The sequence below is a fragment of the Homo sapiens genome, chromosome 9 (assembly GCF_000001405.40).
Source record: "Homo sapiens chromosome 9, GRCh38.p14 Primary Assembly".
Classification (NCBI taxonomy): Eukaryota; Metazoa; Chordata; class Mammalia; order Primates; family Hominidae; genus Homo; species Homo sapiens.
Genome location: NC_000009.12, coordinates 67,507,170 through 67,525,131, shown reverse-complemented (window position 1 = coordinate 67,525,131; position 17,962 = coordinate 67,507,170). Strand labels below are relative to the sequence as shown.

Below are 17,962 nucleotides of genomic sequence, written 5' to 3'. Positions count from 1 at the left end.
GGATAACAGGCATGTGTCACCACGCCTGGCTAATTTTGTATTTTTAGTGGAGACGAGGTTTCACTATGTTGGCCAGGATGGTCTCGAACTCCTGACTTCAGGTGATCCACCCACTTCGGCCTTCCAAAGTGCTCGGATTACAGGCATGAGCCACCATACCCGGCCAAAAGTTTGAATTTTGATTCAGTCATGACTTTGCCACTTAATCTGAGTCTCCAGGTAGGTCATGTCCCGCAATTTTCTCATCTGCAGGCTGGGAATAATGACAGGCTATATTCCAATAAGTTTTCATTGAAGGTTAAATAATATGACAGAGATCTGGCATATGTAAATCCTCAATAAGTGGCAGCCATTTTTGTTTTTATTGCTTTCGTTATTCATTGAGTTTCAGATACTGAAATTAACAATGCGTATTATCCACCTGTTCCTCTGCTGCTTGGATTCCAGACCAAATTTGCCACCTTTTTTGTAACTTCTAAGATTCACTTTGTACTCTTCTGTTTTCTTTTATTTACTCAATAAGTATTTATTGTGAATCTACTGTGTGCTAGTCACCAGTTTAATAATACTCTGTTCCCATCTCTTTGCCTAGTGCACATATATAAGGAATTCTATGAAACTATAACCATACTGACAGATTTCTTGTATAGTCCAGATGATGATCCCACCATTTTAAAAGTACACTTCAAAATGCTCAAAGAGTAAGCTTCAAATGTCTCACCACAGAAAATAAGTGACATTATGAATACGTAAATTGACTTGATTTAACATTCCACATCATGTACATATATCAGAACTTCACTTTGTACCCAATACATGTGTACAATGATGATTTTTCAATTAAAAATCATATTAATGAAAAAGTTGCATGACAGTGGAAAAAATGTTTTGAAGGATAGAGGTTTGCTTATGATCACATGATTCTGAGCAAATTAATCTGAAGCTTTTTTCACAATATAACTTTATTATGTAGAGTTGTTATAGAAATTAAACAACAATATAGAAATCAAAAAAATTTTGTTAGTTCCTTTCTTTTACTCCTCAGATCAGTATGGTTAGGGTGTTCGCAAACTCTGTGTACATTGTGCTGTGGGTTAGCCACTTTAGAAACAGAGGGAGACAGTGAGGCCGGTGGAGCTTGGGAGAGCTAAATAGAGTCTGAGATGGAGAGATTGCATACACCAGTGTGTATTTGAAATAAAATGTAGTGAAAATTAATAAGCTTGAAATTACCTAGCTTAGGCTGTTAAACAAAACATTTTAATAAAGAAAACTAAGTCATTTAGGTTTCCAGAGAATAGTAACTGTCACTAATAAAATTAATGTTTATTTAGGAGAAACTTGTATCAGTTTCTGCAATTGAATCAATCAACATCCAATGAGGAAACAGAAACCACATAGTAATTTGGAAAGGAAAATCAATATAAATAATATTAAATGTTATATGGGGTTAACAATAAAGGGGTACCTGAAGAAAATATTTGGGCTCTGGGAGAGTCCCCAAGGAAGAAACAAACTTGAAAAGGGGCCCCACTCCCCAAGACTGGGCCTCTGACTCATTGGAGGTGTGGTTGCAGCTCACCAGCTTGAGAGGAGGTTCTCTGGGTTGCCCCAGGCAGAAGCTGGTAGGAGGTGACATGGGGCTGGAACAGGCCAGCTGGGAGCTCCTTCTGGGGTGCAGGTGGGCACACAAGCACCACGTAAGGAGGGCACGCAGGAGCACCCTCCAGGGAACAGGCAGGCTGAGGATGAGGAAGGATGAATGTCAAAGCAAGGCAGCTTTGGGTCTAACTCTGAGCTCAGAACTGTGGCCAAGGTTTGTTTTCTGGGTCAGTTCTGGATGAATAGCTTGATGGGATCCTGCCACATATCAAATTTAGCTACCCAACCATCTGAAATGAAACAGTAGAGGAAAAACAGGATAATGAAAATTCTTATTTAGCAATGTATAAAGAACATGCAACTTAGCTCAGCATGTGTATCATGCTTTATTTGGGCCAGGGATCGCTAAGAATATTCATTTTTAAACTTATTTTTTTGGCAGAGAAATGTTTCTGGCTCAGCAAATATAATTACAATAAGGTTTGAATTCCTGTTTGCCAGGATTGGAAAACGATACAATTTCTAAAGCTCTAATCAGTTGTCTATCCATTTTATCTCGGGAACAGAGCTCTATTAGCTATTCTATTAGTTAGCTATTCTCACAAATATGCTGCATAACAAACCACCCCCAAACTCAATGGCTTATGGCAACAACCATTGATTTCTTGCTCGCACATCAGCAGGTTGCTTGGAGTTAAGCTGATTAAGTCAGGGCTGGGCTTGGCTCCAGGCTGCAGGTGGGTTTCAAGTCAGCTTCATGTAGCTGTTCCCGTGCCGTGCTGCTTAGCATGTGCTCTCCTTGGGGCAATGGCAGAAGCACAAGGGACAGGCATTTCATGAGCATTTCAAGCCCCTGCTTGGGTGAAGTCTGTTAATGCTCATTGGCCAACATCAATGGGGAGAGAAGTATGCTTCTGTCATGGAGGTTAAAGAGAATAGAGTGAATCTTTGATAGACCATAATCCAATCTCCCACAGCAAGGAGAGTATACAAACCACATCTTAAGTCTGGATCGGCCTGGGATTTTTCTGCCCCTTGACAGCAGCAGCTGCCTTGCCCTTTGCCCAAGGGAGTCCACTCTGCTGCTTCCTGAGTGTCCTCATTCCTGGTCACTGCACGATTGTCCTTAAATGGTGTTAGCTATTTGGACATGGGCTAAATGCTACTCCCCATGCATGTTTGCTCACCTGTTCCATTTCTGTGTCTACGCAGGTTGGCTGAGCCTGTGGCTTCTCTCTAGAGCTTCCACTGCATCTTACTGAATTTCTTAGGAAGTAGTTGACACAATTGACTACACTGATTTCTGCAAGGTCCCCTAAATCATTTCAGAATGCATGGGGATTGACTCCCAAGAGACAAAAGGGAAGAACTTAATGCACAGTGCACTAAGCAGCAAAGTAGTTTTGCCTCCTTGAGCCTATTCAAGGTTCTCTGTCACACCTTGAATCAGCCAAGATCAAATTTTAGTGTTCGTCACTTGTAAATGTAGTAGACACAAAACCTGGAATTGTGTCTTTATTTGGAAATAGGGTCTTTGTAGATGTAATGAAGTTAAGATGAAGTCATATCGGATTAGGGTGGACCCCAAATGAAATGATTGGTGTCCTTACAAGGAGAGGGAGATTTGGAGACACAGAAAGACAGAGAGACACGGAGAGGGTGGAAGGCCATGCAGTGATGAAGGGAGAGATTGGAGTGATGCAGCTGTGAGCCGAGAATTGCTGGCAACCACCTGAAGCCAGGAAGACGCAGGAAGGATTCCCCGCTGGAGCCTTCAGGGGGAGCATGGCCCTGCTGTCACCTGACTTCAGGCTTTGATCTTCTGGAATTGTGAGCCAATAAATTTCTGTTTACATGCCACCTAGTTTATGATAATATGTTGTGGCAACTCTGGGAAAACATAACACAACACCTCCGATGTCTATTTTAGTCAGAATTCTTTGGTTGCAATTAGCAAATACTAAGAAAAAAAGTGGATTGATCTTAGGTCATTTGAAACTGGCTTTAATGTGTGAAGTTAGGAACATGGGTGCTGTTGGGACTCTCTTATCTTTCATTTATGATTCTCTCTTGTGCTGGCTTTATTCTCCCAGGTCAGCTTCTTCATAAGGCTGATGCCATAGCAGCTGAAGTGTTGAGGCTTTTTGATGAGAGAAAAAAGGCTTTTCTGTGTAATTCTAAGATTAAGTCCCAGGTAAGGGTTCTAGTTCGCCCCTGCTCATCTGGATGGACCACTGAGGTTTGGTGGACAGGCTGTATTGGTGGTCCACCTAGCATCAGTCCTCTGACTGTTGAACAGTGACAAAGGCCATGAAAGAGAAAGGGACAAGGAGTGTAACAAGAACAAGTGCTAACAGGATCATGGAAACTGTTCGGCCACTGCTGTTCATCCACCACCACACTGATGGACTGAAGCAAGAAACCAGAAATCAATGGAAAATATAACAAGAAAGGTTATTTAGAAATTGGTTTCAGAAGAGGGAGGTCATGTGGGTTGAATAGTGTCCCTCCAAAGCTCCTGTTCAGCTGGAAGCTCAGCTTGGGACCTTATTGAGAAATAGGGTTTTTGCCAGAAAAATCAAGTTAAGATGAGCTCATCCTGGATCAGTGTGGGCCCTCCTGCAATCACTCCTGTCTTCATAGGAAGAGACACAGAGATACAAAGGGAAAAGCATGATGGACCACAGCTCAGAGACTGCACTAGTGCAGCTGTAGGCCAAGGATTGCTGGGAAGCACCAGGAGAGAGGCAGGGAACAGAGCCACCCTCCGAACCTCCAGGAAGAAGCCAGCACTGCCAAAGCCTTGATTTTGGACTTCTGGCTCTAGAACTTGTGAGTTAATACATTTTTGTTGTCTGGGGCCTCCAGTTTGTGGTACTTTGGCGGCACCAGCATGCTAAAACAGATGTGGGACTCAATCCTACCTTAAGTACTATTGAACTGCAAAATGAAAGCTTTAGAAAACACAAGAGAGCTGAAATTATTTAATAAGAAGTGTAGTTATATGTATCACTAGAGGAAAACATCCTTTCTTTTCTAAAAGAAAAATTAGATTTCTTATTGAAGCAGGGAGAAGATTTGCCTACAATTCTCATTATGATTAAAGATACCAATTTATCATTGATAATACTGATTATAAAACAGAATTACATTAGGGGATGAGAGTCTGAATACCACCAGGACATTAAATAAAATATTTGAGGAATGAGGTAATTGTCCCAGACTTGTTGGATTCAATCAAGGGTTTTAAGGCTGCTCTATTGCATTTCCTTTTACCATAATATCATATATACACTACCATAGGGAGAGACGCAGCGTAGCTTACATAATGAAATGACTTTACAGCTAATTTGATTCTGCATTTGAAAACCAAACAATTCTCAACATTTATGCTTGTTCATCTTCAGCACAGTTGTTGCGTGACTAAGTTACTTATGAGGAGGTCCGGAGTTCACGTTTAGGACAAGTTCTACTAATTCTGGTTCATACAAAACTTTCCAACCTCTGAGCTTTGTTTGTTTGTTGTTTACTTTGTGTTTGTTTTATCTTTAAAAACTGTAACTTTTTTTTTTTTTTTTTTGAGACGGAGTCTCGCTCTGTCGCCCAGGCCGGACTGCGGACTGCAGTGGCGCAATCTCGGTTCACTGCAAGCTCCGCTTCCCGGGTTCACGCCATTCTCCTGCCTCAGCCTCCCGAGTAGCTGGGACTACAGGCGCCCGCCACCGCGCCCGGCTAATTTTTTGTATTTTTAGTAGAGACGGGGTTTCACCTTGTTAGCCAGGATGGTCTCGATCTCCTGACCTCATGATCCACCCGCCTCGGCCTCCCAAAGTGCTGGGATTACAGGCGTGAGCCACCGTGCCCGGCCAAAACTGTAACTTTTATACTATCTTTCATACTATCATGAAACAAGCAGAGCCTTGATTTACGTTTTGCATTATGCATGATTAACTCAATCTACTTTTGATAGTCCCCACTTTGGGAAGGTGAGGGTGCATAGTCCATACGTCCCCACTTGCTCTTTCCCCTCATAATGGTGACTTTTATCTGTTAACCTGACTGGGCTACGGAATGCCCACACAGCTGGCCAAACACTCTTTCTGGGTGTGTCTGTGAGTGTGATTTGGAAGAGATGAGCATTTGAATTGGTGGACTCGGTAAAGAAGATCACCCTCACGAATGTGGGCAGATATCATCTGAACCACTGAGGGCCCAAGTAGAACAAAAAGGCGGAGAAAGGGGAATCCCTTGTTGGTATTTGGCCTGGGACATCTCTCTTCTCCTGCCCTCTGACAGCAGTGCTCTAATTCTCAGGCCTTTGGACTCAGATTTAATTGCACTGTGGGCTTTCCTGATTTTCCAGCTTTCAGTTGGCAGATTATGGAACTTCGCAGCCTCCAGAATCCCGTGAACTGATTCCTGTATATATACATATGTACACATACAAATATTTGTGTATTTATCTCTGGGACCCGATATACATCTATATCTCCTCTATTGGGTCCCTTTCTTTAGAGAACCCTAATACACTCCTATATTGATGGTCTGACACCTGTCACACATAAGAGGAAATGCTCTTTTGGGATAATTATTCATAATATACAAGTTAGAGAATCATTTATGTTTCTTAGATATTTTCATATGTGTAGAGCTGCTTTATCAATTTGCAGCCCTGGTGGGGAGCCCAGAGCAGAGCCCCGGGCTGGCAGAGCTGGGATCGGGGTACAGATGGGCTTGCAGGAGCCTGGCCACTGGCACCGCTGCTGGGTCTCAGCAGTACCATGCCCTGTTCCCTCAAAGCCACATTGTCTTTTGCAGAGGTTGCCTCCAAAGAAGGTATTTTCTTATGAAGTTTTATGCCTTTGTAAAAGTTGTAAAATATACATGATAGAATTTACCATTATTATTTATTTATTTATTTTGAGACAGAGTCTCTGTCGCCCAGGCTGGAGTGCAGTGGTGCAATCTCAGCTCACTGCAACCTCCACCTCCCGGGTTCACGCCATTCTCCTGCCTCAGCCTCCTGCGTAGCTGGGACTACAGCCACACGCCACCACACCCAGCTAATTTTTGTGTTTTTAGTAGAGACGGGGTTTCACCCTGTTGGCCAGGATGGTCTCCATCTCTTGACCTCGTGATCCACCCGCCTCGGCCTCCCAAAGTGCTGAGATTACAGGCGTGAGCCACCGCGCCTGGCCAGAAATAATTTGTTTCTTTATCACTGAGGACCATCTCAAGTGACAGGGCTCCAAGCTTTTGCTCATGTTCCGCTGCCTTGGAATCCAAGGGCAACTGCGGCCATGGTAGCCTATTTTCATCAAAGTCAAATGGCATCTTGTCGACAGAGGTGAGGGCCTGCAAAGTCCTACTACACTCAGGACAGTCAGTCCCCTGCTACAAAAAAATTATCAGGTACAAAATATCAATAATACTGAGCTAGAGAAACTGAGTTCTAAGTGAAATGGACAAACCTTTAATAGTAGTGACCTGGCCTGAAACTTTAATGTTTCTTTATTGTTTTAAACTTTCATTTGGTTGACTATAGGAGCAGCAAACTGTTTTGCCATTTATTTCTGATGCTTTAACTGTACAATGTTCCCCGAAATGTTTACATTTTAATTCTTGCCAAATTTGTTGTAGCCAACTTTAACCGTGGAATGACATATTTAGTCCCTCAACACTGTCACTTGAATGACACATGGCAATGGGTCAGCCACTTCTTGGAGCAGCACCTGGAGACCAGGGCATTTCCTGTTGCAAACAGTTTCCTACTGACCTTTGTGGGAAAGAAGAAAGAAAACCCAAGCCGGGCACGGTGGCTCACACCTGTAATCCCAGCACTTTGGGAGGCTGAGGTGGGCGGATCACCTGAGGTCAGGAGTTTGAGACCAGCCTGACCAACATGGTGAAACCCCGTCTCTATTAAAATACAAAAATTAACCGGGCGTAGTGGCAGGCGCTTGTAATCTCAGCTACTTGGGAGGCTGAGGCGGAAGAATCGCTTGAAACCAGGAGGCAGAGGTTGTGGTGAGCCGAGATCGCGCCATTGCACTCCAGCCTGGGCGACAAGAGCAAGACTCCATGTCAAAAAAAAAAAAAAAAGAAAAAGAAAAGAAAACCGAGGCTTGGATTTTTAAATCTTCAATTGTGAGTGAAATTTGCATCATTACTCTGTTATAGTTCCACTTACGATTTTTAGAATAAATAAAAACAACATAAAGTGTTTTGAGAAACATAAAAATATTACAGACATATACACAGATGCAGTGATGCAAATGTAAAGATGATAAAGTCCAATCGTCAGAAAAGTCGTAAGTGGAATTAAGGCAGGACACAAGCAAGATTCACTGGTCCCTGAACAGCAGGGAGCGATAGAGGTGTCTGAATACCTTTGGGAGTCCACATCCCCGGGGTGTGGGTGACAGGCAGGCCCTTCATCCCCGGGCAGAGCTGAGCTTGTTCTTGTCACATTTAACCTCAGTCCTCTGATAAAGCCAGAACATACAATGTTTTTATCTGCCCATTCAGAATCATGTAAGTGCAGGTTTTTTTAAGTAATTATGAGGGTGAGTGAGACTTTCACTGTAATGTTTGGTAAGTAATGAGGTGATTCAGTTTTATGTCCATCTTGATTTGAGGAAGAGAGAATGGTGAGGGAAGCATTGGGACAGGTTCATCTGGAACCACAGACACTTAAATGTAGACAAGCCTTTAATGATGCCTGGTCCTCGCTTCCTCCCAAATGCAGGTATGTATTACATCTCTGTTGGCTGTTCCCCTAGAATCAGCTGTAGCTTTTCCAGTGGCCAGGAGCCCTGGTCCCCGTTACCGTTGCGAGGCTGTCTTGCATTATTGGGCACTTTGAATGCTTAAAACTGGGCTTCTGGAAAAAGAGTCAGATTCACCTGGATCTGGATCTGGCAGGTGAATGTCACAGTCTCTAACGACCTCCTAATTCCTGTCTTCTCTCTTTCCTTCCTTTTTTTTTTTTTTTTTTTGAGACGGAGTCTCCCTCTGTCGCCCAGGCTGGAGTGCAGTGGCACGATCTTGGCTCACTGCAAGCTCTGCCTCCCGGGTTCATGCCATTCTCCTGCCTTAGCCTCCCGAGTAGCTGGGAATACAGGTGCCCGCCACCACGCTCGGCTAATTTTTTCATATTTTTAGTAGAGATGGGGTTTCACCATGTTAGCCAGGATGGTCTCCATCTCCTGACTTCGTGATCCACCCACCTCGGCCTCCCAAAGCGCTGGGATTACAGGCGTGAGCCACCACGCCCGGCCTGTCTTTCCTTCTTTTAATCTTTCTACACATGAAAAGGCGTCAGTAGCCCCCACCATCATGTATGTCACCTGGGACACCCTCAGTCTGCCTTTGTTAATGTCAGAGCCAGGAACTCAGGGAAAAAACTATTTTCTGAGATACGTTTTTGTGCAGAGAGAAGAGACTTTCCATGTATATTGCCTTTCCTGTAATATTGTCTGTTCAGGTAGCTGTGTGCCATATCCAGGTAGCTGCATGCCCTCTTCCCTGTTTTAGCACTGGTTGATACTGAGTTTATGGTTAATTAGTAAATGTGTTAAAAAATTTTTTGAATTTTTTTTCAAAAATCAGCAAGCACAAATATGTACCTAGCATTTTCCAAGGATATGGGTATGGAAAGATAAAATGCCAGAACTTACAATTTAATTAGATATTAGTGCAAATGATCGATACACTGCAATGTGGTAACTGTGTAACAGATATTAATTGCACCATCCAAAATTCAGTATGTTAAAAATGGAACTCTTCAGGTTATCATAGGAATGTTGCTTGACTCTTATGCCCAGGGCAGACTGTGAAGCATCCATTCCCCTAAATCCAGGGCAGTCAGGTAAGGGGCCTTCTTATCTCAGCCACTTCTCCACTTCCAGCCCAGACTCTTGCTGTATTAACCTCTGTTTCTCCGACACAGCAGACCCGGAGACTTTTTACCTCCTTTTTTTGTGACTCCTCCCCACTCTACCACAAGTAGGGTTGCAAGATTTAGAAAATGAATATTTAAGACACTCAGTTAAATTTGGATTTTAGATAAATGACAAATACTGTTAATTAGTATAAGTATGTCCCAAATATTGCATTGCATTTTATTGTATTTTTTTTTGTAGCAGCCGTACCCTCAAGAACTGCACCTTCCAACCACCCTTATATGAGCCTGCTCCAAAACCTTGCCAGCCAGCACTTCCAGGTTACGACTATTGACCTCCAGCTCCCAGTTTCAGGTGAGAGGTGAGACCCAGTCCCACACTAGCATGTCATCTTCGTGGAATCCCAAAAGAGACAATATATAGAGGACAGGATTTTTTTTTTTTTTTTTTTTTGAGACGGAGTCTTGCTCTATCGCCCAGGCTGTACTGCAGTGGCGCGATTCTTGGCTCACTGCAAGCTCCACCTCCTGGGTTCACGCCATTCTCCTGCCTCAGTCTCCTGAGTAGCTGGGACTACAGGCGCCCGCCACCACACCCCGCTGATTTTTTGTATTTTTGGTAGAGACGGGGTTTCACCGTGTTAGCCAGGATGGTCTCTATCTCCTGACCTTGTGATCCGCCCGCCTCGGCCTCCCAAAGTGCTAGGATTACAGGTGTGAACACCGAGCCCGACCAAGGTACGGCCTTTTTAAAGCCCCCTCCCCTGCTTCACACCCAGCAATGCGCCTGCTTTAAGGGTGTCCTTGTTTTTGACAAACTCACAATCTCCGCCTCCACAGGTTTCGGGCGCCCCTGGTGGTTGCACTTTGCCAGTAGCTTATGGCAACCCACCAGGTTTGCTGATGCTGGACTGGCATTTACCTGTCAAAGTAATTTAAACCATAAGATTTATTCCCAAATAGGGGGGGAAACAGATAAAATGGGAGAAGGGCATGGTTGTGGGTTTGGACTAATCAGAACAAGATTCTAAATTTTTATAAAGAGAGGAGATGGTACTGCAGGAAAGCCCTGTGAGTCTCCCCTGCAAAATACCCACCTAGACCTGTTTTTGTTGGTGGTTGTGTGTATGCCTTCTGAAACAGTGTGTCTCCACAGCCAAACATGTGCTGGGATGCAGGAGATGCTTAGGCCACCTTGATCAGTGATGTCTGAGGCTTCCCCAGGCTGGTTAATTCACAGCCTCCCTCCTTTATGCTCCCCCAGATTCTCTTTCATTTAGATTGTGTTGACTCAGCTCAGGGGATGAATATATGTATTTGCCAACATTATTGAGTTTGCTAATTAAAAAGCACTGAAAGAAAACTTACTTTCCCTCTGCGTTTGGTGACTTTTACCCCTAGAACTCTTCTTCTTAGGAAGCCTATGACAATGAAGATACTATAAAAACAAGGGTCTTTCCAATTCCCTTCTGCTGTGTCGTGGAGCGAACACTCAACCTGGAGTCTAACGTTCTTAATTTCTGTCCCAGATCTTTACTGGCTGGGTCTCTGCACACTTCTCAGTCTCCTAGAGTCTTCAGGTTACTCAATCAAAAAATGTTCTAAACTAGTTGTTATAAGAGTGCTGAACACATTGGCTGGTTCACTCACACAATAGATTTGCCTGACAACTGTTCACTAAACTGTATATCTTAGTGCAGTATGTGGATTTAACTGGTGGTGTTGCTGATGTGTCAAAATTTTGAGCACGTTCCAGCTTTTCATTGTTGTTATTTTCCATCTTCCATTACTTTGAAGGGAACATGTTACAGGACACAAAGAAATACTAAACTTGCAAAGCATATGAATAATAGCAAATGTGATTATTATTTATTTACTTATAAAAAGATGATAGATTACTTCATGTTCTGCTTAAAGCTACTTTTTGCATTTGGACCATTTTGAGTAGCCCATATTCTGCCAAAAATTATAATTATAAAATTAGTGAATCACGCAGAAAACATTGGAACTAAATTATTGACACGGCTTTGGAAAGGTGATATCCAATCTTATATGCAAATTCCAGTTGTCTTCCATTACTCTTGGGATCTTTCAGCAGATTTTTGCCATCTGTGTAGAAGCTGTTATTGAATTTTCTTGCTGAGATTATATAATTTCTATTCAGAGAATTAAATTCCCCATTACACTGTATTTTGTTTCTCTACAATATAAATGGAAAATTATGTAACAAGGAATTTATACATTTGTTTTGCACCTGTGGTATTTAAAATGTGGCAGGCATTTAGAGCTGTCATAAAGACCCAGGCCGAAAATGCTTTATTGCATATGATTATCCTTCTCTTACTACTTTTGAAAAGGAATGAAATACAGCCATTTTAATATTCATGTGTTCCATCCAAACAGAGGACTGAATAATAAAAGTGGATAACTTATATTTGCTTCCATTACAAATAGTTTTATCTTGCCATCTTCAGTCATTGTTTTCGGCTTGCATTGTGATACTATGAAGTGGATCAGAAAATATACTTCCTGAGTGCTACTTGTTAAACAAGTGTATGAAATGTGCTTGACCCTGCTCTGTGCAGTAGAGCATTTCAGACTAATCACAAACTACTGAGTGGAGTCAAAGCAGCAGCTCAGACTGCTTTCTCTGCAAAAACTGGAGATAAAGTGTTGGTTAGAATATAACGTTTAGCTTCTCATGTTGTAACTAATGGTAGGCCTGGTGGAGTGGTTAAAATATAATGAATCCAGTACCAATGGATTCCAGAAGTATTTGATACCCATCTAATATAACGCTGCTCAAAACATTTTGATGGGTCTCTAGGGTCTAATGAATAAACTTCCAACCTTAATCTGGTCCTTGTTATCCGACTTATGCTGTTTCTTTCTTTCTTTTTTTTTTTTTTTTTCAGAGAGTTCTCCCAGTCTCCTGGATCACACTGGTCTGAAAGCTGTTTGGTAGACAACCTTCGAGTCTTTCTGCCTTCATACTGTGGGTATACCGTTCTCCCAACTGAAAACCCGTTTTTTTTCTTATCTGTCTACTCAAAGCCTAACCAACACCAAATGGCCTAGAAATGCCACGTACCTACCAGTTGCCTCTTTCCTCCTCCAGCCCTTGTGAATGTGAATTCACATCTCTGTTCTCTGTGTTCCTTGGCCACTTAGTACCATTCACAATATCTCTCATAGCTAGCTCTCTGCCTTAGGGCTGGCCCATGGGACTAAAATTCCTTGTGGTAGGTATTTTTTTTTCATATTTCTATTCTTATAGCATCTAGCATAGAACAAACAGCCTAGTATCTAGTGGGTATCCAATAACAACTTATGCAGGTGATTAGGCAAGAAAAAGAAATAAAGCCTATTCAAATTGGAAAGGTGGAAGTCAAATTGTCCCTATTTGCTGGCAACATAATCTTATATATAGAAGAACTTAAACACTCTGCCAAAAATCCATTAGATGTGATAAACAATTCAGTAAGGTTGTATTGTATGTATCAAAACATCCCTATGTAACCCATAGAGATGTATAATTATTTTATGTTGATCAAAAATAAAATAATAAAAGCTCTTAATAAAACAGTCATCTCTTTCAGAATTCATGGTTACCATTGCCTCTAGTATTATTTGTCAATTAAAAAATAAAATTTAAAAAGAATTTAAAGAGTTGAATGCAGTTTAAAAATGCATGCAGGCCGGGTGCGGTGGCTCACGCCTGTAATCCCAGCACTTTGGGAGGCTGAGGTGGGCGGATCGCGAGGTCAGGAGATCGCGACCATCCTGGCTAACATGGTGAAACCCCGTCTCAACTAAAAATACAAAAAAAAAATAGCCAGGCATGGTCACAGGCGCCTGTAGTCCCAGCTACTCGGGAGGCTGAGGCAGGAGAATGGCATGAACCTGGGGGGCGGAGCTTGCAGTGAGAGGAGATCGCGCCACTGCACTCCAGCCTGGGCGACAGAGGGAGACTCCGTCTCAAAAAAAAAAAAAAGCATGCAAGTAAGGAAGGATCGTGTGAGGGTAAGGGTGCAAGTGCAGCTTTAAAGATATTAGTAAGAGAAAAGAAGAGGGCGTATAGTGCATGCTGTGACATGGGATGACAGCTTGCACTGAGAGAGCATGGATCTATATTTTTACTATATACTCTGTAATTGAACATTTCAGCTTATTTGGATTGTATTAAGCCACTTTATTATTTGAATGCTCACAATTTCCTTCTAATTTCAAACTTGTTTGTGGACCTGTAAAAAAATTCTTTTTTTAAATGCATCTGTTTAATGACACAGGACACTTTTCATTTATGCATGGTACACTGGTAGCCCAATCTGAAAGTACTGTTTTCTACACTAAACTTTTTTTTTTTTGAGCCAGAGTCTTGCTCTGTTGCCAAGCTGGAGTGCAGTGGCGCAATCTCGGCTCACTGCAACCTCCACCTCCTTGGGTTCAAGAGATTCTTCTGCCACAGCCTCCCGAGTAGCTGGGACTACACACCTGCGCCACCACACCCAGCTAATTTTTGTAATTTTAGTAGAGACAGGGTTTCACCATGTTGGCCAGGATGGTCTCAATCTCTTGACCTCGTGACCTGCCCGCCTCAGCCTCCCAAAGTGCTAGGATTACAGGCGTGAGCCACTGCGCCTGGCCTAAACTATTTTTAAAAAGAAGTAACAGCATGCCTCTACTTATGTAAAAGCAAACATATGTTTTGACGGTGGTGAAGTTGGCTTCTGTTAACCCAACTTCTAAAGAACTAAATTGGCCAAAAGAGGAAAAAAAAATGCTTATTTTATTAAATTTAAATTTAGTAAATGCTTATTTACTACATTGACTTGAGGATTTCAGACAAATAGCTTAGTTAGTGGTTAGATCAAGAGGCTTTATAGAAGAAAAGCTTAATGGTGCTTATTTATAAAATGAAAAAATTAGTAGTTCTTGGCCCTGCCTCATCTGTTTCTCAAATTTGTTGGTTATGAAAGATCTGACTGAAATCCACACCATCTGGCTTTTAGTGCTGGGATCCCAGCACAGGCCAGTTTAGCCATCTGCTTCTGTCTCTGACGCCACATACAACAGAGAGTCTTTTGTCATTGTTGTTGTTGTTGTTGTTGTTGTTGTTTTGAGACGAAGTCTTGGTATGTCTCCCAGGCTGGAGTGCAGTGGCACGATCTCGGCTCACTGCAAGCTCTGCCTCCTGAGTTCACGCCATTCTCCTGCCTCAGCCTCCTGAGTAGCTGGGACTGCAGGCGCCCGCCACCACGCCCGGCTAATTTTTTGTATTTTTAGTAGACACGGAGTTTCACCGTGTTAGCCAGGATGGTCTCGATCTCCTGACCTCGTGATCTACCCGCCTCGGCCTCCCAAAGTGCTCGGATCGCACCCAGCCCAGAGCTGCATTTTCATACACCATTGAAATCAGTGAACCCTCACCGTGTGATGAGAATGCTGGATGAAATTTTATGCTGAGTGAGGGAACAATCTGTTGAAAATAAAGGTTAGAAATGTGTAGTGTCCTATCGTGTCAGTGCCACAAAAAAGATGGGGAGTCCTGCCACATGGTGGAATGGTGCCACATAAGTCAGAGCAGGAAGCGAGTGCAGAAGGACCCAAGTGACTGGAGAGATGATTGCAAATGCAACAGAAATTCTAGGGTTCATCGGATGCTGTGGCTATGCTTAAGAAACCAGCCACTCAGCTAAGAAAACAACAGTGAGAAATAACACCGTTACAGTGGATTTATTTCTCTGCTTAAATGACTGCCTTGCAGAAGAGCTGTGATCTTTTGATATTTTTTGGCAAACAGCATCAAAAACAAGATATATGGAATCAACCAACAGATCATGTATCACTGTGCTTGTACTGGTAAAACTCCGTGTACTTACTCCACGTCTACCGTAGTAGATTGAGAGATGGTCATCCAAAGATCTCAGATTCTAATCCCTGGGACTGGGAAGTGTTCCCTTGTTTGGCAAAAGAGTCTTTGTAGACGTGATTAAGTTAGGGATCTTGGCATGAGGGGATGAACCTTCTTTATTCAGGTGGCCTTGAATTATGATCACAAGTGTCCTTATAAAAGAGAGGCAAAGGGAGAAAGCACAGAAAGGAGAGGAGGAACTTAAGTGCCCATGGAGGCAGAGACCGCAGTAATGCAGCCACAATTTAGGGACGCCAACAGAAGATGGGAGGGGCAAAGAACCAGTCCACCCCCGTAGACTCCAGGAAAAGTGTGGTCTTGCCAACACATTGATTTTGGAATTCTGGGCTCTAGAACTATGAAAGTATAAATTTCTGTTATTTTAAGCAGCCCAGCTGTGATACTTTGTTAAGCAGCCACAGGGACTAATACCCCTACTATGTGCCACTCACTGTGCCAGTCCTGGGGAAGATTTAGGCTGGAAAAGCATGGCCTTTGCAGCATTTTTCCCCCACCAGTGCTGAGACAATATGTTGAAAAGACTGGGAAAATGTTATAATGTATTCAAAATACCAGATGAGAGCTTTCTGTGTACCTGTCACTATGCTCAGCTCCAGAGATGGGATATGAACAAAACAGGCCCAATTCTCTTCCCTCTGTGCCGAACTTACTTTCTGTTAAGTACAAAATAGGGCTTAATGCTATGAAAATGAAGAGGAGTGACAACATTGATGTCAACCAGGAGGATCAGGGCAGATTTTAAATATGATGTGGCTGCAGCAAGAGTGTGTGCGCATGGGAACAGGCATTCCAAACGAAGGAATCACTGCTAATACAGCTGCAAAGTCTGCAGTGCCTTTGGGAAGCCTTGACAAGATGAACGTGTCAGAGAGCAGGCATTCAGTCTTTAACACAGCCTTTCCACATCGGCCTATAAAATTGTATTATGATGTTTCTTCATTTGGAAAACTAGTTTTAAAGGTTGCATTTTGATGAGTTTGCAACATTCAATTTAATGGAATCCAAATCGCATGCCCTTTGGAAGAGGTGCCATATGTGAATGCACCCATAAAGTGCACGCATGCAGCGTTTGTTACGTGGTAGGATCTCATGCAATTTTAAATGACTCTCATGTTAAAAAATGCTTCTATTGGCAGGGGGTGGTGGCTTACACCTGTAATCCAAGCACTTTGGGAGGCCAAGGCAGGTGGATCACCTGAGGTCAGGAGTTTGAGACCAGCCTGGCCAACATGGTGAAACCCCGTCTCTACCAAAAATACAAAAATTAGCTGGGCATGGTGGTGGGCACCTGTAATCCCAGCTATTTGGGAGGCTGAGGCAAGAGAATGTCTTGAACCCAGTAGTTGGAGGTTGCAGTGAGCCAACTTCGTGCCATTGTACTCCAGCCTGAGCAACAAGAGCAAAACTCCATCTCAAAGAAAAAAAAATGCTTCTATCACTCTTAGCCTTGTTTTACTTCATACTCTGGTGGTGGGCAGGTTTGCTACCTTAAATACGTCCTAGAAGCTGAATCCAAATACTTTTTGAACAATTTTCTGACTTCCTTTAGAGAAATGTACTGTCAGAGTACTATGTATAATTTTTTAAATACAGCTACCCTGAAGACTTATAAAAGTCTGGTTGTTCAGGCAGTAATTTATTTACAAATTCATGAAAATGAAAACAGTTTATGCAAGCAACCAGCTCTGGGATGCCTCATCGTCCTTTGCAAAATTATCCAAATCATGATGAAATAGGCTTTATTTTTATGGATTAAACAGAGAAGAATGTCTAATGAATTGTCTAGAAATTGAAATACGCACCTTTTATGAATAGGGACATTTCATAAGACCATTCTGTATTGTGAGTTAGGAATTCAGATCAGTTGAAGCATTAAAAAAATCAAACCTTCTGCAGCTCATTAAAGCATAAACCTAATTTTTAGAATTTATCCGACTAATATAGTAAGACCTCCACCTGCTTAGAATAATATTAATACTTGGCCTCATTTACCTCCAAGAGGGGGATAGGCCCCTGACCAATCTTCCCATTTCACCGAGGACAGACACTTCCCTTGAATCAGGTGGAGGTTTTCCAGTCATATTTGCAACACTGTTTAATGCTCAATTGCCCTATTTCTTTCCTCTGTGAAGTGAATACAATAACTTAAATGAAGGTTGTTTGAAACTCCTACTATTGGGTAGGAGTTTGCAACCTGGTTACTATGATCAGAGCTATAATTTTTTTGTTTATTATAATTAGGTTTTTTGCAAGACTAAAATTGTGCTTCTTTTAAAGTGCTGAAGAATTTCCAGGCTTGTCAGCACTAATACGTATTCTAATTGCAAAAACAGACACGAATATCAACCCAGGTGCATAGACCTCATAGTGTCAATCAAATCTCATCAGAAACTACTTGTCTTGCAGGAGGAAGGGGATCCTAAAATCTTTTTTTTTTAAGGGAAATTTTTTATCAATTTGTATTCTTTATGTCCTTTCATATTGCCGTTTACCATAAATGAAAACCATGAGAGGAACTTTTA

At 42.3% G+C, this 17,962-nt stretch overlaps 1 long non-coding RNA gene across 1 annotated transcript in view; it reads left to right on the top strand.

Moving 5' to 3' along the window:
* The window catches only part of LOC105379452 (uncharacterized), a 70,033-nt gene that overhangs the window by 35,204 nt on the left and 16,867 nt on the right, over positions 1-17,962 (top strand). Inside the window, exons 2-3 of the long non-coding RNA XR_950692.3 lie at positions 9,747-9,860; positions 12,421-12,500. This is a non-coding gene — a long non-coding RNA (uncharacterized LOC105379452). The remainder of the gene's footprint in view (positions 1-9,746; positions 9,861-12,420; positions 12,501-17,962) is intronic.